Genomic DNA, 25,524 nt, shown 5'->3' on the forward strand with positions numbered 1-25,524 from the left:
TTATGGGGAAAGAAAAAAAACGGTTCTGCACTGGAAAATTGGCCAGTGGCTCCCTTTTCCTCTCCCACCCCCCAAACCTCTCAGTGCCCTCACCCTCAGACAACGACAGCTGACAACAGGCAGCCAGTTCAGGCCAGACCCCTCTCACTTCTGCCCCTCTTCCCGCCACCGCTCCCCCCCACCCCGCCCCCAGAAGCCACAAAAGGACAGATGCAGAGGACAGGCGCCAGGCACAGATACCATCTCCCTTCCCCAAGCCAGCTGCCCCCAACCCTCCCCCTGCCCGCAATTAGTCCTCTGGGGCGGGAGCGGGGCACAGAGCAGAGCCCTCTTGGGGGAGGGGAAGCCCGATCCGCACCCACCCTTCCTTTGCCCCCCTCTTCCTTCTGCTGCTCCAATATCAATTTCAGCCAGTGACCTCTCCACCAATTTGCACATCCCCACTCTCCCGGTCCGTTTCACCGCCAGACATCGGTTCCATTTCGACCCTCACTGGCGGTCATTCCCACCCCCTCTGCTGGTCAATTTCACCCCTTTTGGCGGTCAAGTGCAGTCCCCCATTTCCCGGGCAATTTCCCCCTCCCCTCCTTCTCCCTCTCCCCTCCCCTCCCCAGCAGTGTCACTCCCAGCTGCTCCCCACCTCCCGCGCTCCGCGCTCGCTGCGGCCAGTCTCGGGCGTCCCGGTCAGTGTCCAGCTGCCGCGGCCTCGGCCCCGGCGACTCCCGCCCCCAGCCCCCCTTCCCTCCGCGGGCAGCGGCTCCCTCCCTCCCCAGAACAGCTGAAGGTCTCAGTCACCTCCGAGGGGAGCGCAGGGGGAGGGGAGGGGCGGGGGACGCGGCGGAGGGGAGGTGGGGGAGCCTTGACGCTGCTGCCCGGGACGCGGCCCGGGGCTGGTGGGAACAGGGGCGTCCTCCTGCGCGCCCCCCTCCCCAGCGTCCCACCTCCCGGCGGCGGCGGGGAAAGTCTCTCCGAAAGCGTGAAGGGGGATTGGAGGAGGTTTTTATTTCCCTTTGTGCGGGTGGCTGGGGCCGGATCGAGGCGGCGGGGGCCGCGGGACTGGGGGCTCCCCGCTGAGCCGAGAGGAGCGCGACAAAGGATGCGTCCCGCCGGGGTCACAGTCTCCGCGGCCCAACTTTGCGCGCGGCGCCCGCGCCCCTGGGGAGCCCGCCCGCTGCGCTGAGAACCCAGGCGTCCGGGCTGGGAGAGGGGCCGGGAGCGTCCGCAGGTGGCGCTGGCCCGGATCTCCCGACCCCAGGAAGGGATCCCGGAGCTTCCTGGAGGCGGCGGGCGGCCGTGTCGCTCCAGGGAACCGCGCTGCCCGCGGAAACTCCGCGCGCCTCCGCGGATGCCCCTCGCCCTAGCCCCCAGCGCGCGGGGTTCGGGGCCCTGCGAGGTCCCCCCTTCCCCCGCGGTGCTTCCCAAGCTGGGCTAAGGCGGGCTTCTCTTCCTCCCTCCTCTGTCGCCTCCTTTTCCTCCCCCTCGTTCACCTTTTCCTTCCCTCTATCCATCCAGAGCCCCGCCAAAGGGCGCACCTGATCTTTCTCATCCTTCCCTGCTCTTCCCTTCCTCTCCACCTCCTCCTCCTCCTTGGGGAAAGGGGCCCGGAGAAGGGCATGTGGGGGCCCCTCTGACAGTGGCCCGATTGGGGTGACAGGCGCCCAAATGGCCAAGTGGCTACGGGACTACCTGAGCTTTGGGGGTCGGAGGCCCCCTCCGCAGCCGCCCACCCCGGACTACACCGAGAGCGACATCCTGAGGGCCTACCGCGCGCAGAAGAACCTGGACTTCGAGGACCCCTATGAGGACGCGGAGAGCCGCTTGGAGCCGGACCCCGCGGGCCCTGGGGACTCCAAGAACCCCGGAGATGCCAAGTATGGTTCTCCCAAGCACCGGCTCATCAAGGTGGAGGCTGCGGATATGGCCAGAGCCAAGGCCCTTCTGGGCGGCCCCGGGGAGGAGGTGCGTGGCTGGGTGGCCTGGGGAGACTGGGTGGAGGGGAGGCTCAGGATGGGCTCTCTGGATCGTGGAGAGCTTATTTTATGTGTGATCACAGGAGGGGACTGGGGCACCAGACAGACCCTTCCCAGTCCTCCAGACCTCCACCTGCTTGGGGAAGTCTGTTCTTTTTATGTATTTATTTATTTTGAGACAGTCTCCCCCTGTCACCCAGGCTGGAGTGCAGTGGTGGGATCTCGGCTCATTGCAACCTCCACCTCCTGGGGTTCAAGCGATTCTCCTGCCTCAGCCTCTCCAGTAGCTGAGATTACAGGTGTGTGCCACCACACCCGGCTAATTTTTGTATTTTCAGTAGAGACTGGTTTCACCATGTTAGCCAGGCTGGACTCAAACTCCTGACCTCAGGTGATCCTCCCGCCTCTGCCTCCCGAAGTGCTGGGATTACAGGTGTGAGTCACTGCGCCCGGTGGATATCTGTCCCTTTTCAATGCATAATGCTGGTTGTCCTTCTGCCTCTCTGACCACCCTGCTTGGTCTCCGGGTCCTCCTCCTCCTCCATGGTCATCCCCTGCAGTCCCCCAGCCCCCTCCCCTCAGCACCCCTTCCTCTTGGAACCTGGTGGGATCTTCCTAAAATAGATCTGAGTGAGTTGCTCCCCTGCTGGGCACCTAAATATCCTCCCGGTGATGCTGCCCTTCCTACCACTATGTTCCCGTTTTACAGAAGCGAAACTGAGGCTCGCAGAACGGTAGTGACTTGGCTAAGGTCTCACGGGGTTCTAGCTTACTAGGATTTGAACCCAGGCCACCGGGTGCAGTAGCTCATGCCTGTAATTCCAGCACTTTGGGAGGTCGAGGTGGGAGGATTGCTTGAGCCCAGGAGTTCGAGACCAGCCCGGGCTAACAGAGTGAGACCTTGTCTCTACAAAAAAAAAATCAAAACATTAGCTAGTTGTGGTGGTGCACACCATAGTCCCAGCTACTCAGGAGGCTGAGGCAGGAGGATCACTTGAGCCTAGAAGGTCAAAGCTGCAGTGAGTCATGATTGCGCCACTGCACTCCAACCTGGGTGACAGAGCAACACCCTGTCTCAAAAAAAAAAAAAAAAAAAAAAAAAAAGGCTGGGTGTGGTGGTTCACACCTGTAATCCCAGCACTTTGGGAGGCCAAGGCAGGTGGATCACCTGAGGTCAGGAGTTCCAGACCAGCCTGGCCAACACAGTGAAACCCCATCTCTACCAAAAATGCAAAAATTAACCAGGCGATGTGGCGTGCGCCTATAATCCCAGCTACTCCTGAGGCTGAGGCAGGAGAATTGCTTGAACCCAGGAGGTGGAGGTTGCAGTGAGCCAACATCGCGCCACTGCACTCCAGCCTGGGTGACAAGAGCGAGACTCTGTCTCAATAAATAAATAAATAAGAAGTAAGACGTTGGTAAGAAGAGCCAGGGACTCGAGGAAACCAGTCAGCCGGGATCAGACTCGGCCTCTTACTTACCAGCTGTGTGTCCCTAAGCAAAACACTTACTGTCTCTGTGCCTTGGCTTCCTTGTCTGGAAAAGGGGAATGGTGTACTTATTACATGTTGGTATTACAAATCAACACAGGTAAATCCTTGACAATAGTGCACGGAGAAGCACTGAAGTGGGCGAAGGAGGGAGGCAGGTGTCTGTGCTGGGGAAATGGGATCAAGACAGAGGGAGACGTGGGAAGCCAGCCGCTGTCTGCGAGCACTTTTGGGTAACAGACTCCCTCTCCAACCCCCAAAAAGAACTCTTGGAGAGGCCAGGCACTGTGGCTCATGCCTGTAATCCCAGCACTTTGAGAGGCTGAAGCGGGCGGATCATCTGAGGTCAGGAGTTGAAGACCAGCCTGGCCAACATGGTGAAACCCTGTCTCTACTAAAAATGCAAAAATTAGCCAGGTTTGGTGGCCGGCACCAGTAATTCCAGCTACTCCAGAGACTGAGGCAGGAGAATTGCTTGATCCCGGGAGTCGGAGGTTGCAGTGAGCCGAGATCACACCACTGCACTGTAGCCTGGGCAACGGAGCAAGACTCCATCTCAAAATAAATAAATAAATAAAACTCAGCTGGGCGCGGTTGCTCACGCCTGTAATCCCAGCACGTTGGGAGCCCGAGGCGGGCAGATCACGAGGTCAGGAGATCGAGACCATCCCGGCTAACACGGTGAAACCCCATCTCTACAAAAAGTTAGCCAGGCATGGTGGCGGGCGCCTGTAGTCCCAGCTACTCGGGAGGCTGAGGCAGGAGAATGACGTGAACCCAGGAGGCAGAGCTTGCAGTGAGCCCAGATCCCGCCACTGCACTCCAGCCTGGGTGACAGAGCGAGACTCCATCTCAAAAAATAAAAATAAAAATAAATAAATAAATAATAAAAAAATAAAAACTCTTGGAGAGGTGTCAGATGGCCCTGTGGGCAGGCAAGAGGTGCAGCGTCAATTAGCAGGGAAGCCCCTCTGAGTCCTTGTCTTCTCCCCTTCCTTCTCTCCGCAGCTGGAAGCCGACACTGAGTATTTAGACCCCTTTGATGCTCAGCCTCATCCTGCACCCCCGGATGATGGGTACATGGAGCCCTACGATGCCCAATGGGTCATGAGTGGTGAGTAGGCACGGCTTGGGGGAAGGTGACAGGGTCCCAGATGGGAGCAGGAGCTGAACAGTGTCCCTGGCCTCCTAGAACTTCCCGGCAGAGGGGTGCAGCTCTATGACACCCCTTATGAGGAACAGGACCCAGAGACAGCAGATGGACCCCCTTCTGGGCAGAAGCCTCGGCAGAGCCGGATGCCCCAGGAAGATGAACGGCCAGCAGATGAGTATGATCAGCCCTGGGAGTGGAAGAAAGACCACATCTCCAGGGCGTTTGCAGGTGCTTCTCAGACCCACACTCTGACATCTGAATGCCCCATCCCTGCATTTCCTCATCTGGTCATGTCTCCTGTTTCAGTTTACAAAGTAGAGTCCAATTACTTGTCACTTTTGTAGTTTGTTAATTCTCACTAGAGTGTGAATGACTGATAGTCCTAAATTCTTTCTTCCAAGACAACCTGCATCTTCCTTGGAAACGCAAACACTTTTTAGAGTGGAATGGAACCTACTTATCCTGCTCAGTGTGGTGTGGGGAGAGGAATATGGCTTGCTTTTAGAATAGGATGTGGGGGTGGCAGGGGCAGCATTTCTTTATTTTATTTTATTTTATTTTATTTTTCTTTCGTTTTTCTTCCAGGCGGAGTCTCACTCTGTCGCCCAGGCTGGAGTGCAGTGGCGTGATCTCGGCTCACTGCAAGCTTCGCCTCCTGGGTTCACGCCATTCTCCTGCCTCAGCCTCCCGAGTAGCTGGGACTACAGGCGCCCGCCACCACGCCCGGCTAATTTTTTGTATTTTTAGTAGAGACGGGGTTTCACCATGTCAGCCAGGATGGTCTCGATCTTCTGACCTCGTGATCCACCCGCCTCGGCCTCCCAAAGTGCTGGGATTACAGGCAGGAGCCACCGCGCCCCCGCCCGGGGCAGCATTTCTTAATAGCTGCTAGTAAACTACAGGTGAATTTCCAGCTGAATTGGATGAGCTTGGAGAAGCCTCTGAACCTTAGTTTTCTCTTCTGTAAAAGAGATAATGATAAAATCAGTTTTAAAAAATAAAATAATTGCCGGGCACGGTGGCTCACGCCTGTAATCCCAGCACTTTGAGAGGCCGAGGCGGGTGGATCGTTTGAGGTCAGGAGTTCGAGACCAGCCTGACCAACATGGAGAAACCCCGTCTTACTAAAAATGCAAAATTAGTCGGGCGTGGTGGTGCATGCCGGTAATCCCAGCTACTCAGGAGGCTGAGGTAGGAGAATTGCTTGAACCTGGAGGCGGAGGTTGCGGTGAGCCAAGATCGTGCCATTGCACTCCAGCCTGAGCAGCGAGAGCAAAACTTTGTCTCTAAATAAACAAATACATAAAATAAAATAAATAAAATTTGGACCAGGAAGAGTTGTGCAAACACGACTTTGCCCCCAAAGTTTTATGACTGGGAGGGTATTTAGAGCTTAGTGCCTTTGTCCACCTGTCTGTAGATTGGGGGTGATTTTCTAGTTTTAGGACTTGGCCACAGTCTGGGCTGAACCCCAGAAGGGGTTTAGGGACTAGGGCTCCTCTTTGGAAACTTCGAACCGACCCCGTCTAGCCACGCCCCTTGTGCTCCTTGCCACCAGATTTATAAATGACCGCACCTATTTCTTAGGAAGGCCAAAAGGTTGCACCTGTGGCCAATCCTGCCCCTGCCTTAAGCCCAGCCCCTGGGCTGTGATAGGTTGTCCCAAGCTGGCCCTGCCTTTCTACCGAGATTCCATTGGCTTGCCCCTGCCCCGCCCCCCAAGGTAGGCTGGACTTAACCCTTTCCTCTCTAAATCTCCTTTCCAGTGCAGTTTGACAGTCCAGAGTGGGAGAGGACTCCAGGCTCAGCCAAGGAGCTCCGGAGACCTCCGCCCAGAAGCCCCCAGCCTGCGGAGCGTGTGGACCCAGCCCTGCCCCTGGAGAAACAGCCGTGAGTGGGGAAGCTGAAGGTGGAAGAGCCCCGTTGAACGTATCTGTAGACTCCAATGTATCAGGCAGAAGTTTTTTCGTTTCCCAGATTAGAGGAACTGGGGGAACTTCGATTCATTCATCCACTTATTTCTTCAGCTAATCTTTACGGGCTCCAGAGCCTGCTGCGTGCCAGGCACCCAGCTAGACACAAAACAATCTTATGGGGTCCCTTTTCCTTTGGTATCAAGTTCTGGGTTCACATTCCTGCTCTCCTCTCCTGGCTGTGTAGCCTGGGGCAAGTCACTTAACCTCTCTGAGCCTCAGGTTCAAACAGAAAAGGCAATTTCCTTCCTTAACTTGGGTGGGGCTTACAGCCTCAGAGCCAAGAGACAGAAATCATTCTCAGCCAGTTCTTGGTTCTTGGGATGGAACCAGGAGATGCAGGATTTTGGTGGGCTCACAGCTCCGTGCTGGGGTGGCACGTGAGCCGGGAGACGCTGACTCTGTGTCCTTCCAGCCTGGGCGCTCCTTGAGGGAGTGCCCAAGTCCCCAGAATCCAGACCATGTTGTCACAGTCACCCCTAAAATCTCTTCGGTGGGCAATACAGAACTGGCTATTTAACTCTGAGGCCGAGGGTGTGAAGATTGTTCTCTTTTTTTCTTTCTCTTCCTCCCTCCCTCCCTCCCCGAGTCTTGCTGTGTCGCCCAGGCTGGAGTGCAGTGACGCGACCTCGGCTCACTGCAACCTCCATCTCACAGGTTCAAGCGATTCTCATGCCTCAGCCTCCAGAGTAGGTGGGACTACAGGCGTGCACCACCATGCCTAGCTAATTTTTGTATTTTCAGTAGAGACAGAGTTTCAGTATGTTGGCCAGGCTGGTCTGGAACTCCTGACCTCATGATCCATCCACCTCGGCCTCCCAAAGTGCTGGGATTACAGGTGTGAGCCACCCCGCCCGGCCCTTCCTCCTTCTCTTCTCTTCTCTTTCTTTTCTTTTCCTTTCTTTTTTTTTTTTTTTTTTTTTGACAGAGCCTCGCTCTTGTCGCCCAGGCTGGAGTGCAATGACACAATCTCAGCTCACTGCAACCTCCGCCTCCCTGGTTCAAGCAATTCTCTTGCCTCAGCCTCCCAAGTAGCTGGGAATACAGGCTCCTGGCACCACACCAGGCTAATTTTTGTATTTTTAGTAGAGACAGAGTTTCACCATGTTAGCCAGGCTGGTCTCAAACTCCTGACCTCAGGTGATGTGCTTGCCTTGGCCTCCCAAAGTGTTGGGATGACAGCCATGAGCCACCGCACCTGGCCCGCTCTTTCTTTTTCTTTCTTTCTTTCTTTCTTTCTTTCTTTTCTTTCTTTCTTTCTTTCTTTCTTTCTCTCTTTCTTTCTTTCTTTCTTTTTTTCTTTCCTTCCTTCCTTCCTTCCTTCCTTCCTACCTTCCTTCCTTCCTTCCTTTCTTTCTCTCTTTCTTTCTTTCTTTTGAGACAGGGTCTCACTCTGTTGCCCAGGCTGAAGTGCAGTGGCACAATCAGCTCACTGTACCCCTGCACTCCTGGGATCAAGCGATCCTCCAGCCTCAGCCTCTCCATGGGACCACAGGCACGCCATATGTGCTTATTCTCTTTTCAGATTTCTTTCATTGTGAACAACAGCAAAGGCTCTGGTGCTTCTCTGTCTTTGATATCTTGCTTGCTACTGCAAACCCCTTTGTGAGCACATTAAAGCAAAACATTAGGCCAGGCACGGTGGCTCACGCCTGTTATCCCAGCACTTTGGGAGGCCGGGGTGGGCAGATCATGAGGTCAAGAGATCAAGACCATCCTGGCCAACATGGTGAAACTCCATCATTAGCCGGACATGGTGGTGCGTGCCTGTAATCCCAGCTACTCGGGAGGCTGAGGCAGGAGAATCTCTTGAACCTGCGAGGTGGAGGTTGCAGTGAGCTGAGATCACGCCACTGTACTCCAGCCTGGCGACAGAGTGAGACTCCATCTCAAAATAAAACAAAAAAACATTAAGAAAGGGGCTGGGTAAGGTGGCTCATGGATGTAATCCCAGCACTTTGGGAGGCTGAAGCAGCGGATAACCTGAGGTCAAGAGTTTGAGACCAGCCAGGCCAACATGGTGAAACCCCATCTCTACTAAAAATAGAAAAAAATTAGCCAGGCAGCCGGGCGCAGTGGCTCATGCCTGTAATCCCAGCACTTTGGGAGGCCGAGGTGGGCGGATCACAAGGTTAGAGATTGAGACCAGCCTGACTAACATGGTGAAACCCAGTCTTTACGAAAAATGCAAAAAATTAGCTGGGCGTGGTGGCGGGTGCCTGTAGTCCCAGCTACTTGGGAGGCTGAGGCAGGAGAATGGCGTGAACCGGGGAGGCGGAGCTTACAGTGAGCCGAGATCGTGCCACTGCACTCCAGCCTGGGTGACAGAGCGAGACTCTGTCTCAAAAAAAAAGAAAGAAAAAGAAAAAAACAGAAAGGGACAGGTGGGTGAGGTACAAGATGAAGCACCACTTTTGTGAAAGTGGTTGAAGTTGACAAGGACATGAGGGAGGCTGTGAAGATCAATGTCAAGTGTACGATAACCAGGGCTCCTCTTGAAAAATCCAAGGGTATTGGCCGGGCATGGTGGCTCAAGCCTGTAATCCCAGTACTTTGGGAGGCCAAGGAGGGCAGATAACCTGAGGTTAGGAGTTCGAGACCAGCCTGGCCAACATGGTGAAACCCCATCTCTACTAAAAATGCAAAAATTAGCCATGTGTGGTGCTATGCGCCTGTAGTTCCAGCTACTCTGGAGGCTGAGGCAGGAGAATCGCTTGAACCCAGGAGGCGGAGGTTGTGGTGAGCCAAGATTGCACCACTGCACTCCAACCTGGCAACAGAGCAAGACTCTGTCTCAAAAAAAAAGAAAAAAGAAAACTCCAAGGGAATTGTCCTTCTTCATTTGCCCAGATGCCACAAGCCCATGCACCAGCTGTGACCCAACAGATCCCAGAGTGTGTTTTTTTGTTTGTTTGTTTGTTTGTTCGTTTGTTTTGAGACAGAGTCTCACTCTGTTGCCCAGGCTGGAGTGCAGTGGTGCAATCTCAGCTCACAACTTCCACCTCCCTGGTTCAAGCAATTTCCCTACCTCAGCCTCCTGAGTAGCTGGGATTACAGGCACCCGCCACCACGCCCGGCTAATTTTTTTTGTATTTTTAGTAGAAACGGGGTTTCACCATGTTAGGGAGACTGGTTTCGAACTCCTGACCTCAGGCAATCCGCCCGCGTCAGCCTCCCAAAGTGCTGGGATTACAGGGCCCCAGAGTGTGTTTGAAGGGAATGGCCCTTGATGAGACATCTGTCCATACTCGCTAGGTGGTTTCATGGCCCCCTGAACAGGGCGGATGCAGAGAGCCTCCTGTCCCTCTGCAAGGAAGGCAGCTACCTAGTGCGGCTCAGTGAGACCAACCCCCAGGACTGCTCCTTGTCTCTCAGGTGAGAACTCAGCCTCACAGGGACGAAGGGTCACAGGATTGCGTGAGTCACCCTTTTGGGTTAATTCAGAGGGAAGGGGAGGGTGTGGCTCCCGCAGCCATAGGGAAGGGCTTCCAGGTCAGTGGGTGGGACTTCTAGGAGAAGGGGTGGGAGTTCTGGGGAGGCCATTAGCTGGTTGCAATTGAGAATGAGCTCACCATCGCTGGAGGTATACAAGAAGATGGAGTGGAAGGCATCGAGGAGGTCCAGGCCTTGGGTAAGACAAGGAACTAGGTGCACAAGATTCCTCTGGACTCCCCTTGTCCAAAAATGGAGGTATATCAATTTGTGTCCATCTGAAGCCAAAATTTCAGGGTGTACCTGTAAGCGTTTTAGGTTGAGACCCTGTTTGTACGCACTTCCGTCCCTAAAATTCTAAGTCTGTCTAATTATAAACCACTCCTAAGATTCTGCTAGGTGTCTGAGTGGAAGATCTAAAAGCACGAGATTGGGGCTGAGCGCGGCAGCTGACGTCTGTAATCCCAGCACTTTGGAAGGCTGAGGAAGGTGGATCACTTGAGGTCAGGAGTTCGAGACCAGCCTGGCCAACATGGTGAAACCCCTTCTCTCCTAAAAATACAAATATTAGTTGGGCATAGTGGTGCATACCTGTAATTCCAGCTACCTCGGAGGCTGAGGCAGGAGAATTGCTTGAACCTGGGAGACGGAAGACTTTCGGCGCATACCACCGTGCCCAGCTAATTTTTTTTTTTTTTTTTTTTTTTTTGAGACGGAGTCTAGCTCTGTCACCCAGGCTGGAGTGCAGTGGCGCGATCTCGGCTCACTGCAAGCTCTGCCTCCCGGGTTCACGCCATTCTCCTGCCTCAGCCTCCCGAGTAGCTGGGACTACAGGCGCCCACCACCACGCCCGGCTAATTTTTTTGTATTTTTAGTAGAGACGGGGTTTCACTGTGTTAGCCAGGATGGTCTCGATCTCCTGACCTCGTGATCCGCCCGCCTCAGCCTCCCAAAGTGCTGGGATTACAGGTGTGAGCCGCCATGCCCGGCTAATTTTTGTATTCTTAGTACAGACAGGGTTTCGCCATGTTGGCCAGGCTGGTCTCAAACTCCTGGCCTCAAGCAATCCGCCTGACTCGGCCTCCCAAAGTGCTGGGATTGCAGGTGTGGGTCACTGCACCTGGCCTCTTATTATTATTATTATTTATTTATTTATTTATTTATTTTTTGAGACAGAGTCTCGCTCTGTCGCCTAGGCTGGAGTATAGTGGCACGATCTCGGCTCACTGCAAGCTCCGCCTCCCGGGTTCACGCCATTCTCCTGCCTCAGCCTCCCGAGTAGCTGGGACTACAGGCGCCCACCACCACACCCAGCTAATTTTTTGTATTTTTTAGTAGACACGGGGTTTCACCGTGTTAGCCAGGATGGTCTCCATCTCCTGACCTCGTGATCCGCCTGCCTTGGCCTCCCAAAGTGCTGTGATTACAGGCGTGAGCCACCGCGCCCAGCCTATTTTTTTATTATTATTATTTTGAGACAGAGTCTCACTCTGTCACCCAGGCTGGGGTGCAGTGGCACAATATCAGCTCACTGCAGCCTCTGCCTCCCAGGTTCAAGGGATTCTCATGCCTCAGCCTCTTGAGTAGCTGGGACCACAGGCACCCGCCACCACGCCCGGCTAATTTTTGTATTTTTAGTGGAGATGGGGTTTCACCATGTTGGCCAGGCTGGTCTCAAACTCGTAACCTCAAGTGATCTGCCTGACTCGGCCTCCCAAAGTGCTGGGATTACAGGCGTGAGCCACCGCACCCGCCTAATTTTTAAATGTTTTTTGGTGGAGACGGGGTCTCACTCTGTTGGCCAGGCTGGTCTCTAACGCCTGGCCTGGAGTAAGCCTACAGCCTCAGCTTCCCATATCACTGGGATTACAGGTGTGAGCGAGTATACCAGCCACCACACTGCTGTTTACCAGAGACTGGAGACACACGAGCACCTGGCCTGGGCACTGTGGGAGGTGGCTTTGGGGATGGTGCCTTTCTGGGTGGGTCCGGGATGCTCAGGAGTCCCTTTCTCCCTCATCGCCCAGGAGCAGCCAGGGCTTCCTGCATCTGAAGTTCGCGCGGACCCGTGAGAACCAGGTGGTGCTGGGCCAACACAGCGGGCCCTTCCCCAGCGTGCCCGAGCTCGTCCTCCACTACAGTTCACGCCCACTGCCGGTGCAGGGTGCCGAGCATCTGGCTCTGCTGTACCCCGTGGTCACGCAGACCCCCTGACAGTGACCCTCGGCCCCCTTTTGAGTCCTCGGGCCCAGAATCGTATCCCAAAGCCCTCCCATGGCCTAGAAAATAAATAAGTTATTGTTTGTCTTAGTGTCCTTTCTGGGCTACAGAGGGAAGTGGGATCGTTGACTCCCAGCGGGAAAGCCCTAAGCAGCCCTGGAGAGGGGGATAATGGGGTAATTGAAACCCTGGAGGAGGCCAGGCACGGTGGCTCACGCCTGTAATCCCAGCACTTTGGGAGGTTGAGGCAGGCAGATCACCTGAGGTTGGGAGTTCGAGACCATCCTGACCAACACGGAGAAACCGCGTCTCTACTAAAAATACAAAATTAACCGGGCGTGGTGGCGCATGCGTCTAATCCCAGATACTCGGGAGGCTGAGGCAGGAGAATCGTTTGAACCCAGGAGGCGGAGATTGCAGTGGGCTGAGATCGCACCATTACACTCCAGTCTGGGGAACAAGAGTGAAACGCCTCCATCTCAGAACAAACAAACATAAAAAACCCTCGAGGCCTTGAGGGCCAAGCACATCCCCAGCACTTTGTTTTGGGGACAGAGTTGGGATTGGAACCTGAATCTCCCATAGGGAGGGACCAGAACTCAGCAAGAGACAGAGCGTCGTGGAGCAGATTAAAAACCGCACTCCATAGAAACCGACAGATACAAAGATGGAGAAACTGAGGGGGGCCAGGCTCTCGGGCCAGCCCCGCTCCCTCCCCCCGGCAGCAGTGGCTTGATCTGCAGAAAGGACATCTGTCCCCATGGAAACAGCAGAAGTAGGGGAGGGGAGCTGGGCCTAGCTGGTGTCACTTCAAGGTGACAGGCCAGGCAGGCAGGAGACCTGGGGGGCTGGTAAACACCATGAATCTCCTGACCTCCCCTTCTTCTCCCCACCTCCAGGCCTGCCTGGGAGTGATGCCAGCTGCGGGGGGGGTCTTCCATGGCAGGGGACTGTTTGGAAGCCAGAGTACCACTTCTTCCTCCTTGGATTTGTCCCTATAAGGTGGGAGGGGGGCTTTGAGTTGCCACAAAGTCCCTTGGCCACAGTGGGCCTCTCCAGCCACCCCTGAGAGCTCTGGGACCCCAGATGACCCCTTAAGTCTTTTTGGTGCGTGTATGTGACAGGGTCTCACTCTACCACCTAGGCTGGAGGGCAGTGACATAATTAGAGCTCACTGCAACCTCAACCTCCAGGGCTGAAGTGGTCCTCCCCTCTCAGCCTCCCAAATATCTGAGACCAGAGACATCAGCTGCACCATCACGCCCGGCTAAATTTTGTATTTTTCGTAGAGACGGAGTTTCACCATGTTGGCCAGGCTGGTCTCGAACTCCTGACCTCAGGTGATCCGCCCACCTCGGCCTCCCAAAGTGTTGGGATTACAGGCGCAAGCCACCGCGTCTGGCCTTGTTTTTAAATTTTCTGTAGAAATGGAGTCTTCTTGCTCTATTGCCCAGGCTGGTCTCAAACTCTTGGCTTCAAGTGATCCTTCCACCGCAGCCTCCCAAAGTGCTGGGATTAGAGGCGTGAGCCACCGCACCCGATTTCTTCAGATCTTTTTAGCACTCCCAAATCGCCACAAACACCAGCTTTGCTTTTTCTTCACAAGCCTTTATTAGGTTCTTGGGGGAAAGTGGGAGCGAGATCCATCATTACAGAAATGAGGACGGGGTCTCAGGATGGGGCTGACAGGCTCCCAATCCTCCTGCTTTTTGTTTTTTTTGAGACGGAGTCTCACTCTGTCGCCCAGGCTGGAGTGCAGTGGCGCAATCTCGGCTCACTGCAACCTCCGCCTCCCAGGTTCAAGCCAGGCTGGTCTCAAACCCCTGACCTCAAGTGTTCCACCCGCCTCGGCTTCCCAAACTGCTGGGATTACAGGCGTGAGCCACCGTGTCTGGCCTCGATCCCCCCTTTTTTGTGTGTACCTATGGGTGGGGTCCTGTTGAGGTCTCCTGGGATCTCTCACTCCTCTCCCACTTTGGGGAACCCTTTTGGCCTCGGCTGCTGGGTGGGGCTTGGTCTAGGAGAGACCCTGACCATAGAGACGGGGTGGCCGGGCCTGGGGCTGGGGCAGGGTCTCGGGCTGGGGCAGGGTCTTGACGCCAGGTGCGGCTGGCGGGGGGCCGGTTGCGGGAAGGAGGTTGAATAAATGCTCTGGCCCCTCTGGTCCTTCCCCTCTCCAGAGCAGTCCTCACTCTTCTTTGGGGCCCCCCGGGGCCGGTATAGGACGTTGCTGTAGAATGCATTTCCTAGGATGGATGACACAGACCAAGAGGATCACTTAAGAGAGTCCTGCCCTCTCCAGCTGACCTCTGGGGGATCTGTCTCTTTTTTTTTTTTTCTGTGAGACGGAGTCTCACTCTGTCGCCCAGGCTGGAGTGCAGTGGCGCAATCTCGGCTCACTGCAAGCTTCGCCTCCTGGGTTCACGCCATTCTCCTGCCTCAGCCTCCCAACTAGCTGGGACTACAGGCTCCCGCCACCATGCCTGGCTGATTTTTTGTATTTTTAGTAGAGACGGGGTTTCACTGTTAGCCAGGATGGTCTTGATCTCCTGACCTCGTGATCCACCCGCCTCGGCCTCCCAAAGTGCTGGGATTACAGGCGTGAGCCACCGCGCCCGGCCTTTTTTTTTTTTTTTTTGAGACAGTCTTACTCTGTCACCTGGGCTGGAGTGTAGCAGCGGTGCGATCTCAGCTCACTGCAGTCTCCACCTCCCAGGTTCAAGTGATTCTCCTGCCTCAGTCTCCCTAGTAGCTGGGATTACAAGCCCCCGCTACTACGTCTGGCTAATTTTTTGTATTTTTAGCAGAGATGGGGTTTCACCACGTTGGCCAGGCTGGTCTCGAACTCCTGGCCTCGTGATTCGCCCGCCGTGGCCTCCCAAAATGCTGGGATTACATGCATGAGCCACTGCACCCGGCCAATTTTTTTTTTTTTTTAATTTCAAACTGTCTTTTTGTTTGTTTGTTTGTTTTTTGAGACAGGGTCTCTCTCTGTCACCCAGGCTGGAGTACAGTGGGGAAACTATAGCTCACTGCAGCCTCCGCCTCCCAGGTTCAAGCAATCCTCACACCTCAGCCTCCCAAGTAGCTGGGACCACAGGCGTGTGCCACCAAGCCAGGCTAATTTTTTTGTTGTTGTTGAGATGGAGTCTGGCTGTGTCGCCCAGGCTGGAGTGTAGTGAGGCAGTCTGGGCTCACTGCAATCTCTGCCTCCTGGGTTCCAGTGATTCTCCTGCCTCAACCTCCCAAGCAGCTGGGACTACAGGCACAGGCCACCACGCCTGGGTAATGTTTGTATTTTTAGTAGAGACTGGGTTTCACCATGTCGCCCAGGCTGGTCTCAAACTCCTGACCTCAAGTGATCCACCCGCCTCAGCCTCCCAAAGTGCTGGGATGACAGGCATGAGACACCATGCACAGCCTAATTTTTAAATTTTTTTTTTTTTGAGACCGCGTCTTGCTCTGTCACCCAGGCTAGAGTTCAGTGGCGCGATCTTGGCTCACTGCAACCTCTGCCTCCCGGGTTCAAGCGATCCTCCTGCCTCAGCCTCCCAAGTAGCTGGTATTACAGGCGTCTGCCACCACACCTAGCTAATTTTTTGTATTTTTAGTAGATACAAGGTTTCACCATATTGTCCAGGCTGACCTCAGGTGATTCGCCCACCTCGGCCTCCCAAAATGCTGGGATGACAGGCATGAGCCACCGCGCCCAGCAATTTGTAATTTTTTTGTAGAGATGGGATCTTGCTAGGTTGCACAGGCTAGGGGCTTTGTCTCTATTTCTGAAAAACATGAGCATAGGATATAGGAGCCAGGCTTCTCCTCCCTTCATCCCTCCTCCATCCTTCCCCCAGGCGGGAGCACAGATGCAGTGGGTCTTTGTCAAGCAGCTGCAGTTCCCACCTCCTCCGCCCTACCCTCCCTTACCTGGGCTGTTACCTGAGTCCCTTTGCTGGCAGCTGCGGCGGCCCCAGAACCAGGCACCCCACACGATCGCAGCCACACCCATGCTTCCCACCCCCAGCAGCACGAAGAGGAATCCTGGGTAGGGGGAGAAGAGATGGTCTAATCAGGAGGGGAAGGGGTGGTGATGCGGGTGGAAGACGCTGGGGGAGGAACACAGGGCAGGGCTCACCTGGGAAGCTTGCGATCCGGTTTCTGTTCTGTGTGGGGTCATCTGCAGAGAAGAAATCTATGTCACGGGGGTGCCAGGCTTCTCCACCCTCCAAGGACAGAGCTCACTTGGGGGGACCTAAGTGTTCCTCCTCCTGCCAGGCTTTGTGGATTTGGGCAAGTGTTCACTCTGAACCTCTGTTTCTTCTTCTGAAAAATGAGGCTCAGCAGGACGCGGTGGCTCAGGCCTGTAATCCGAGCACTCTGGGAGGCTGAGGCAGGAGGATCACTCGAGGTCAGGAGTTCGAGACCAGCCTGGCCAACATGGTGAAACCCCATCTCTACAAAAAAATATAAAAATTAGCCAGGCATGGTGGTGGCGCCTTTAATCCCAACTACTCAGGAGGCTGAGGCAGGAGAATCGCTTGAATCCAGGAGGGGGAGGTTGCAGTGAGCCGAGATCGTGTCACTACGCTCCAGCCTGGGTGACAGAGCAAGACTCTGCCTCAAAAAAAAAAAAAAAGAAGGCCAGGCGCAGTGGCTCACACCTGTAATCTTAGCACTTTGGGAGACCGAGGTAGGCGGATCACAAGGTCAGGCGATCGAGACCATCCTGGCTAACACAGTGAAACCCCGTCTCTACTAAAAATACAAAAAATTAGCCGGCCATGGTGGTGGGCACCTGTAGTCCCAGCTACTCGGGAGGCTGAGGCAGGAGAATGGTGTGAACCCGGGAGGCGGAGCTTGCAGTGAGCCAAGATCGAGCCACTGCACTCCAGCCTGGGCGACAGAGCGAGACTGTCTCGAAAAAAAAAAAGAAAAATGAGGCTCATCGTCCCTGTCTTGTTGGGTCATTGTGGAAAAACTGCCAACTGGGATTTGTCATCATGAGCCCCGCCATCTTTATCCTGGGATCTATCACTCTCCAGATCCTGTTTGGTTGTTTTTGTTTTTGTTTGAGCCTCTACTCCATGCCACGCCCATTTTATAGACGGGGAAACCGAGGCTCAGAGAGCCTAAGTCACTTGCCTAGGGTCCCCTACCCAGGCGGCAGCAGGAACCAGCTTTGGACAAAGCCCTGTCTCACCTCAGCTCGGAGATCCTAACACTGAAGTTCCTTGAGAACTTACTATGTCTCAGGCCCTGTGCTAAGCATTGTTTTGTTGTTGTTGTTTGTTTTTCTGGAGACAGGGTCGCTCTGTGTCACCCAGGCTGGAGTGCAGTGGCGTGATCGTAGCTCACTGCAGTCTCCAACTCCTGGGCTCAAGTGATCCTCCCGCCTCAACCTCTCAAGTAGCTGGGACTATGGGTATATGCCACCATGCCTGGCTAATTTTAGAATTTCTTGTAGAGATGAGGTCTTGCTGTGTTGGCCAAGCTGGTCTCGACCTCCTGGCCTCAAACAATCCTCCCACCTTGGCCTCCCAAAGTGCTGGGATATCAGGCGTGAGCCACTGCACTTGGATTATAGCAAGCACTTTGGCTATAACTGCTCTAAAGTCACCCGACCTGATGAGGAAAAACTATTCACTGTATTTTGACAGCAGAGGGAACTGGCACAGAGAGGTCAAGTCACTTGCTCAAGGTCACACAGCAAGTAAATGAAACAGAGGATTGAATCCAGGTTGTATAATTTACAGGAACCCCAGCTAAAGGCTGTGAATGCCGCAATTAAGATAAGGTCCAGCACCCCAACCCCCTTCTTTTGCAGCCTCTGAGGTTGGCAGGGGATCCCTGGGGACTGCCAAGCTGCTGTTCAGGATTGGTGGGGTGTGGGGAAGCCAGCTGTGTGGGGTTGGACCCGCGCCCACTCCCTGCTCTCTCACAGCTGCCAACGCACAGCCTGGCGCCTCCACCACCCCGCCTCCTCTAATTGCTAATTGGCCCCTTTGACATCAGAGGGGTGGGAAGAGGTGGGTAACACAGCCATAACACACCCCTCCCTTGAGGCAGGCACGTGTCCCCCGCCAGCAGGCTGGTCCTACCAGCTGGAGAGGAACAGGCATCTCTAGGGGCTGAGAGCTGGGTGCTTCATTCTGCCAGAGGGGGCTGGACAGAGGCCCGGGGCCCACAGGCACCTCTCACAGAGCAGGAGGCAAAGCCTGCATCCCCTTGGGTTTCCCGATTCTGCCCAGGATGGGTCCATAAGTGGGGGACATGGCAAAGGGGACAGTGCATAGGGTGCACCCCTGCCTGGTGCATAACGCTAGATATGTCTTGGCCCTCTCTGGTTCACCTGGCTCATCTGTAAAGTGAGGCAGCTGGCGTTGCTGACCTGGAAAGCTATCTGGAGGGTTTCTTCCAACTTTGAGAGTCTGTGGCTTTTTTTTTTTTTTTTTTTTGAGACAGAGTCTTGCTCTGTAGCCCAGGCTGGAGTGCAGTGGTACAATCTGAGCTCACTGCAACCTCCCCCTCCCGGATTCTCCTGCCTCAGCCTCCTGAGTAGCTGGAATTACAGGCTCACACCACCATGCCCAGCTACTTTTTGTATTTTTAGTAGAGAGGGGGTTTTCATCATGTTGGCCAGGCTGGTCTCGAACCCCTGACCTCAGGTGATCCACCCACCTTGGCCTTCCAAAGTGCTAGGATTACAGGGATGAGCTACCGCGCCCAGCTGATGGCTTTATTTTATTTAGAGACAGGGTCTCGCTCTGTCGCCCAGGCTGGAGTGCAGTGGTGCACTCATAGCTCACTGCAGCCTCCAGCTCCTGGGCTCAGGTGATCCTCTTGCCTTAGCCTCCCAAAATGCTGGGATTACAAGCATCAGCCACTATGCCTGGCTGATGACTTTCAATTTTGTATCCTAAAATTCTTGGATTATGGGCCGGGCATGGTGGCTCAGGCCTGTAATCCCAGTACTTTGGGAGGCTGAGGCAGGCAGATCACGAGGTCAAGAGATCGAGACTATCCTGGCCAACATGGTGAAACCTCGTCTCTACTAAAAATACAAAAATTAGCTGGGCGTGCTGGCACGTGCCTGTAATCCCAGCTACTTGGGAGGCTGAGGCGGGAGAATCGCTTGAACCTAGGAGGCGGAGGTTGCAGTGAGCCGAGATCGCGCCCCTGCACTCCAAGGCCTGGACGACAGAGCAAGACTCTGTCTCTTAAAAAAAAAAAAAAAAGTTTGATATGAAGAATTTAGAGTTTTTTGTTTCTAGGAGTTTAAGACTCAAAAGTCTTAAGATTCTAGGATCCTCCCCACTGCCCCTCCCTCTCCCCGCTGGCTCCCGTACCTGGGTCCACAAAGAGCCTTGTTATGTTGCCCTCAGCCTCCTCCAACTCAGGAATCTCTACGGCCGCCCAGCACACGTACGCCCCGCTGTGGTTGAGGCTCACAGGGTCCAGCTGCAGGGTGAGATGGCTGGGTGCCTGCCAGGAGAGCCGTCCCTGGGGCCCGCAGACCCCCAGGCTGAGGCTGCCGTTGGTGATGTACGGTTGACACAGGATGGCCCCATCCTTTGTCCACTTAACACGGAGCCGTTCCCAGGCTGTGGCCTGGTCCACCTGGCAGACCAGGGTCGCCTGACTGCCCTGCCTCACCTGCAGCAAGTTGGGCCCCTGCTGCACGCTCAGGCTTGAGGCTTCTTGCAGGGCTGGAGGACAGAAGAGGTAGAGGCGACCTTTCTGACTGTGCGCATGTGAGGCTGTGTGACTCACTCCCCTAGTGAGCCCGCAGTCTGGGTTTGAAACCTCACTTGTCTAAGACGGGTGCAGTGGCTCACGCCTGTAGTCCCAGCACTTTGGAAGCCCGAGGTGGGAGGATTGCTTGAGCCCAGGAGTTCCAGACCAGCCTGGGAACATAGCAAGACCTCATCTCTACAATAAATATTTAAAAAGTAGCTGGGTATGGTGGCGTGCACCGTGGGCCCAGCTATTTAAGAGACTAAGTGAAGGGATCGCTTGAGCCCAGGCGTTCGAGGCTGCGGTGAGCTATGATTGCACCACTGCACTCCAGCCTGGGTGACAAAGCAACACCCTGTCTCTAAAAATTTAACATAAAAAAAAAACCAAAGAACCTCACTGTCTGTATGACCTTTGGAAGGTCATGTCTTGCTGAGGCTCAACAACCCCATCTGTAAGATGGGTATAAGTCGCTCAGAGCTTGTGGAATTCTGAGATAGTCTCCAGTACTCAGCTACACAAATACCGCCTAGTATATGCCAGGCCCTATGCTGGGTGTGGGGAACACAGACACAGGCATGACCAAAACAGATGAAAATCCCTGCCCTTCAGAAGCTGACAATCTAGGGCAAGAGAGACACAGGAAGTCGTGAAATGAGAACTGCAGTGGGGGAAAGGAATGGCAGTGGCCTCAGCAGACACCAGTGAGGTCAGGGAGCATCTATTCCTTGAGAGTAATCAGGGAAGGCCTCCTTGAGGTGGTGATTTTTTATTTTTTTAATTTTTTTTGAGTTGGGGTCTGGCTCTATAGTCCAGGCTGGAGTGCAGTGGCACCATCACAGCTCACGGCAGCCCTGAACTCCTGGGCTAAAGTAATCCTCCTACCTCAGCCTCCCAAGTAGCTGGGACTACAGGCATGTAACCACTATGCCTGGCTAATTTTTTTGGTTTTGTAGAGATTGGGGTCTCACTGTGTTGCCCAGGCTGGTGTTGAATTCCTGGGCTCAAGTGATCCTCCCCGCTAACGCCTCCCAAAGTGCTGGGATTGTAGATGTGAGCCACTGTGACCGGCCTTTTTTTTTTTCTTAAGACCACGCCACTGCACTCTAGCCTGGGCAACAGAGTGAGACTCCATATATAAGAAAAAAAGACTCCATCTCACTCTGTTGCCCAGTCTGGAGCGCAGTGGCACCATCAAAGTTCATTGCAGCCTCAGCCGCTTGGGCTCATGGGCTGGGTGCTGTGACTCATGCCTGTAATCCCTGTACTTTGGGAAGTCAAGGCCGGTGGATCACCTGAGGTCAGGAGTTCGAGACCCGTCTGGCCAACGTGGTGAAACTCCATCTCTACTAAAAATACAAAAATTAGCCAGTGTGGTGGCGGGCTCCTGGAATCCCAGCTACATGGGAGGCTGAGGCAGGAGAATCACTTGAATCCGAGAGGCAGAGGTTGCAGTGAGCTGAGACCCTGCCACTGCACTCTAGCTTGGGCAACAGAGCGAGACTCCATAGCAAAGAAAAAAAGACTCCATCTCATTCTATTGCCCAGTCTGGAGTGCAGTGGCACCTTCATAGCTCACTGCAGGATCAACCTCCTGGGTTCATGGGCCGGGTGCAGTGGCTCACGCCTGTAATCCCAGCACTTTGGGAGGCCGAGGCGGGTGGATCACCTGAGGTCAGGAGTTCAAGACCAGCCTGGCCAACATGGTGAAACCCTGTCTCTACTTAAACTACAAAAATTAGCTGGGCATGGTGGCGGGTGCCTGTAATCCCAGCTACTTGGGAGGCTGAGGCAGGAGAATCGCTTGAACCCGGGAGGTGGAGGTTGCAGTGACCTGAGATCGTGCCACTGCACTCCAGCCTGGGTGACAGAGCGAGGCTCTGTCTCAAACAAAACAAAACAAGGCCGGGTGCAGTGGCTCACGCCTATAATCCCAGCACTTTGGGAGGCAGAGGCGGGCGGATCACGAGGTCAGGAGATCAAGACCATCCTGCCCAACATGGTGAAACCCCGTCTCTACTAAAAATACAAAAATTAGCTGGGTGTGGTGGCATGTACCCGTAGTCCCAGCTACTCGGGAGGCTGAGGCGGGAGAATCACTTGAACCCGGGAGGCGGAGGTTGCAGTGAGCTGAGATCGCGCCACTGCACTCCAGCCTGGCGACAGAGCGAGACTGTGTCTCAAAATAAAAAACAAAACAAAACATTCCTGGGCTCATGTGATCCTCCCACCTCAGCCTCCCAAATTACTGGTGTTACAAGTACATGCCACTGTGCTCAGCCTGACCAGGGATCTTAATGGAAAGGTATAACCAGTGTGAGAAGGAAGGTATTGGGGGGTAAGAGCATTCCAGGCAGTGCACAGCCCATGCAAAGGCCCTGGGGCAGGACTGTGCCTGGCGTGTTGGAGGAACAGCGAGGAGGCCCGTGTGGCTGGAGCAGAGTGAGGACAGGGAGAGAGGGAGGAAGGGTTGGGCAGGGCCTGTGAGCCTTGGGGTGGTGTGGGGAGGTGAAGGAAGTTAAGCAGTTTATGTTTTAATGTAAGTGTGATGGAAAATCAGAAAGCAGGGAAGAAATAGTCCAATTGAAGTTTTTGTTTTTGTTTTTGTTTTTGTTTTGAGATGGGGTCTCACTCTGTTGCCCAGGTGGGAGTGCAGTGGTGTGATCTCGGCTCATTGCAACCTCTGCCTCCCAGGTTCAAGTGATTCTTGTGGCTCAGCCTCTTGAGTAGCTGGGACTACAGGCACTCGCTACCACGCCCAGCTAATTTTTGTATTTTTGGTAGAGATGGGGTTTCACCAACATGGCCAGGCTGGTCTGGAACTCCTGACCTCAAGTGATCCACCTGCCTCAGTCTCCAATTTAAGTTTTAATAAAAAGACCTTGGTTGGGTGTGGTGGCTCATGCCTGTTATCCCAGCCCTTTGGGTGGCCAAGACTGGGTGATTGCTTGAGGCCAGGAGTTCAAGACCAGCCTGGGCAACATAGTGAGACCCATCTCTAAAAAACAAAAATGACTGGGCACGGTGGCTCACGCCTGTAATCCCAGCACTTTGGGAGGCCAAGGTGGGTGGATCATGAGGTCAGGAGTTCGAGACCCACCTGGCCGAGATGGCGAAACCCCGTCTCTACTAAAAATACAAAAAAAATTAGCCAGGCGCAGTGGCGCGCGCCTGCAGTCCCAGCTACTCGGGAGCCTGAGGCAGGAGAATCTCTTGAACCTGGGAGGCAGAGGTTGCAGTCAACCGAGATCGCGTCACTGCACTCTAGCCTGGGTGACAGAGCAAGACTCCTTCTCAAAACAAAACAAAACAAACAAACAAAAAAACACAAATGAACAACAAAAAAGTGCAAGCGGCTGGAATCAGAGGAGAGGGAAAGAGGAATGGAGGTTTTCGCCCCAGGAAATGTGTGAAGGGCAGCAGCCTTTGTCCTTAATTGGAAACACAGAGGGAGCTGCTGCCGGAGTAGAAAGTCTGCTTTTAGCTGTGAGAAGTCTGACGTGTCTGTTAGACCCCCGGAGAAGTTGAGGTTATGTGAAGTTCCTGGCATTTGAGATGCAATTGCAGAGGAGGGTAGAGACATGAGATCTGGAGAAGGGTATTAGGCAGCTGGAACAGCAGGTGCAAAGGCTCGAAGGCCAGATCCAGCCTTCCCATTGCGGAAACAGAGAAAGAAAAGTCCCCAGGCTAGAGCAAGAGGGAGGGAGCAAAGGCACTGCGGAGGGTGGAGATGAGAGAGGCCAGGCCAGGCTGGTATGTAGGGCAAGGTTTAGATTGTATCCTAGGGGCCCTCAGAGGATCCTTCCTTAATCCTCCAGCCCCCATCACGTTCTGAGTCTCGGAGGGAGATGGGCCTTATCTGACAGTAGAGAGACTGAAGTTTAGAGGGGCCCTGAGCTGGGGGGCAGGCAGCTGGGGATGACAGCAAGAGTGGGGTTCAGAGGGGAGGGAGGCCCAGATACTCACCCCAGATCTGCACCAGGAGGCCCAGCACCATGCCCGGGGACCCCATTCCTGGCCCATCACCCCCCTCTCCCCCTCCCAGTTGACAGACTTCCTGCCACAATCTCCGCCTCCCGCTGCAGAAGCAGATGCAACACCCAGGGCCAGACAACAGACGTCCGGTGTTCCAGCCTGCTGGGGGCTCCACTTCCTGCCACCTCGTGCCTCAGTTTCCCCAATGCATTTTCTATCTGAAAGGCAGTGTACGGACCAGGCAACATGGCTCATGTCTGTAATCCCAGCACTTTGGGAGGCCGAGGCAGGTGGATCACCTGAGGTCAGGAGTTCGAGACCAGCTTGGCCAACATGATGAAACCCCTACTAATTTCTACTAAAAATACAGAAATTAGCTGGACATGGTGATGGGCGCCTATAATCCCAGCTACTTGGGAGGCTGAGGCAGGAGAATGGCTTAAACCCGGGAGGCGGAGGTTGCAGTGAGCCAAGATCACGCCACTGCACTCCAGCCTGGGCGACAAGAGTGAAACTCCGTCTCAGAAAAAAAGAAAAGAAAGGCAGTGTATGCAAGTGAGTGGGAGGAATCCACCCCTGTGAGCTTTCTGGAAGGCTCTACATAAACACATCTAGGTACAGGAAGACACAGTGCGAGAGCAGGTGGCTCCGTGGGGGAGGGGCAGGCGACATAGGCCTGAGCAGTGAGTTAAATGACAGGGTCCCTGCCTCAATTATTTTGCTCCCAAAATGTCTTTCTTTTGCTGGGCGCTGTAGCTCACACCTGTAATCCCAGCACTTTGTGAGGCTGAGGTGGGAGGATCACTTGAGCCGAGTTTAAGATCAACCTGGGGTAACACAGCGAGATCCAATCTCTATTAAAAAAAAAAAAAAAAAAAAAAAGATACAGGCTGGGCATGGTGGCCCAGGCCTGTAATCCCAGCACTTTGGGAGGCCAAGGCGGGTGGATCACCTGAGGTCAGGAGTTCAAGACCAGCCTAGCCAACATGGCAAAACCCGGTCTCTACTAAAAATACAAAAATTAGCTGGGCCTAGTGGTGGGCGCCTGTAGTCCCAGCTACTCAGTGGGGTTGAGGCAGGAGAATCGCCAGAACTGGGGAGATGGAGATTACAGGGAGCCGAGATCCTGCCACTGCACTCCAGCCTGGGCGACAGAGTGAGACTGTGTCTCAAAAAAAAAAAAAAAGATACAAAACCAACCCAGGGTGATGGTGCATGCCTATAGTCCCAGCCACTCGGGAGGCTGAGGCAGGAGAACCGCTTGAGCCCAGGAGTTGGAGGCTGCAGTAAGCCATGATTGCGCCCCGTTACTCCAGCCTGGGCAACAGAGTGAGTCCGTCTCTAAAAAAAAATAATAATAATAATTTAAAAAATCTTCCTTTGAGGTTCAGAGAAATAGATTTCTGTTGATAACTTTGGGTCCTATTACATGACCTGCTTGGGGGTCCCGTGGAGGAGGTTCATGGGCTCTCGAGTTCCTCCCAGCCCTGCATCCCTCACCCCTGATTCTGTAGTGCATTCTGGGAGGAGGTGGCGAACCCACAGACCTCAATGTCTCAGACCCAACTGCAGAGTGA

General features: G+C 54.4%; 2 protein-coding genes across 10 annotated transcripts, besides 2 other annotated features; one reads left to right on the plus strand and one right to left on the minus strand.

Annotated features, from left to right (window-relative positions):
* Positions 1–667: 667 nt before the first annotated feature.
* SHD (Src homology 2 domain containing transforming protein D) lies at positions 668–12,321 on the plus strand. Of its 2 annotated transcripts, NM_001372011.1 has the most exons (7): positions 668–683; positions 1,655–1,959; positions 4,469–4,574; positions 4,653–4,841; positions 6,380–6,503; positions 9,842–9,961; positions 12,046–12,321. In NM_001372011.1, the coding sequence occupies exons 2-7, from the start codon at positions 1,663–1,665 to the stop codon at positions 12,230–12,232; spliced, it is 1,023 nt and encodes a 340-aa protein (NP_001358940.1). In that variant the 5' UTR covers positions 668–683; positions 1,655–1,662; the 3' UTR covers positions 12,233–12,321. The 2 variants fall into 2 exon arrangements, with proteins under 2 accessions (NP_001358940.1, NP_064594.3); NM_020209.4 differs by lacking the exon at positions 668–683 and having other exon boundaries at positions 865–1,959.
* Positions 6,199–6,258: a silencer, noted in NCBI's record as "silent region_9883". NCBI's record gives its function as "represses an Ori minimal core promoter by ATAC-STARR-seq in GM12878 lymphoblastoid cells {active_cell/tissue: GM12878}" and the evidence as "EXISTENCE:reporter gene assay evidence [ECO:0000049][PMID:35858748]".
* A 1,504-nt stretch (positions 12,322–13,825) lies between the features above and the next one.
* Positions 13,826–23,988, minus strand: TMIGD2 (transmembrane and immunoglobulin domain containing 2). 8 transcript variants are annotated; one of them, NR_172630.1, is made up of 6 exons: positions 23,939–23,988; positions 19,585–19,944; positions 16,374–16,415; positions 16,178–16,279; positions 15,903–16,020; positions 13,826–14,484 (listed from the first exon to the last, which is right to left on the minus strand). NR_172630.1 is itself a non-coding variant. In NM_001169126.2 (5 exons), exons 1-5 carry the CDS (start codon positions 23,982–23,984, stop codon positions 14,198–14,200), a joined length of 837 nt encoding a protein of 278 aa, NP_001162597.1. In that variant the 5' UTR covers positions 23,985–23,988; the 3' UTR covers positions 13,826–14,197. The 8 variants fall into 8 exon arrangements, 5 of the variants coding, with proteins under 5 accessions (NP_001162597.1, NP_653216.2, NP_001295161.1 ...); NR_172632.1 differs by having other exon boundaries at positions 15,885–16,020; NR_172631.1 differs by lacking the exon at positions 19,585–19,944 and having other exon boundaries at positions 15,867–16,020.
* Positions 23,449–23,994: an enhancer, noted in NCBI's record as "H3K4me1 hESC enhancer chr19:4301847-4302392 (GRCh37/hg19 assembly coordinates)". NCBI's record gives its function as "activates a minimal SCP1, AML or CMV promoter by ChIP-STARR-seq in naive H9 embryonic stem cells {active_cell/tissue: H9 hESC(naive)}" and the evidence as "EXISTENCE:reporter gene assay evidence [ECO:0000049][PMID:30033119]".

The sequence above is a fragment of the Homo sapiens genome, chromosome 19 (genome assembly GCF_000001405.40).
Source record: "Homo sapiens chromosome 19, GRCh38.p14 Primary Assembly".
NCBI lineage: Eukaryota > Metazoa > Chordata > Mammalia > Primates > Hominidae > Homo > Homo sapiens.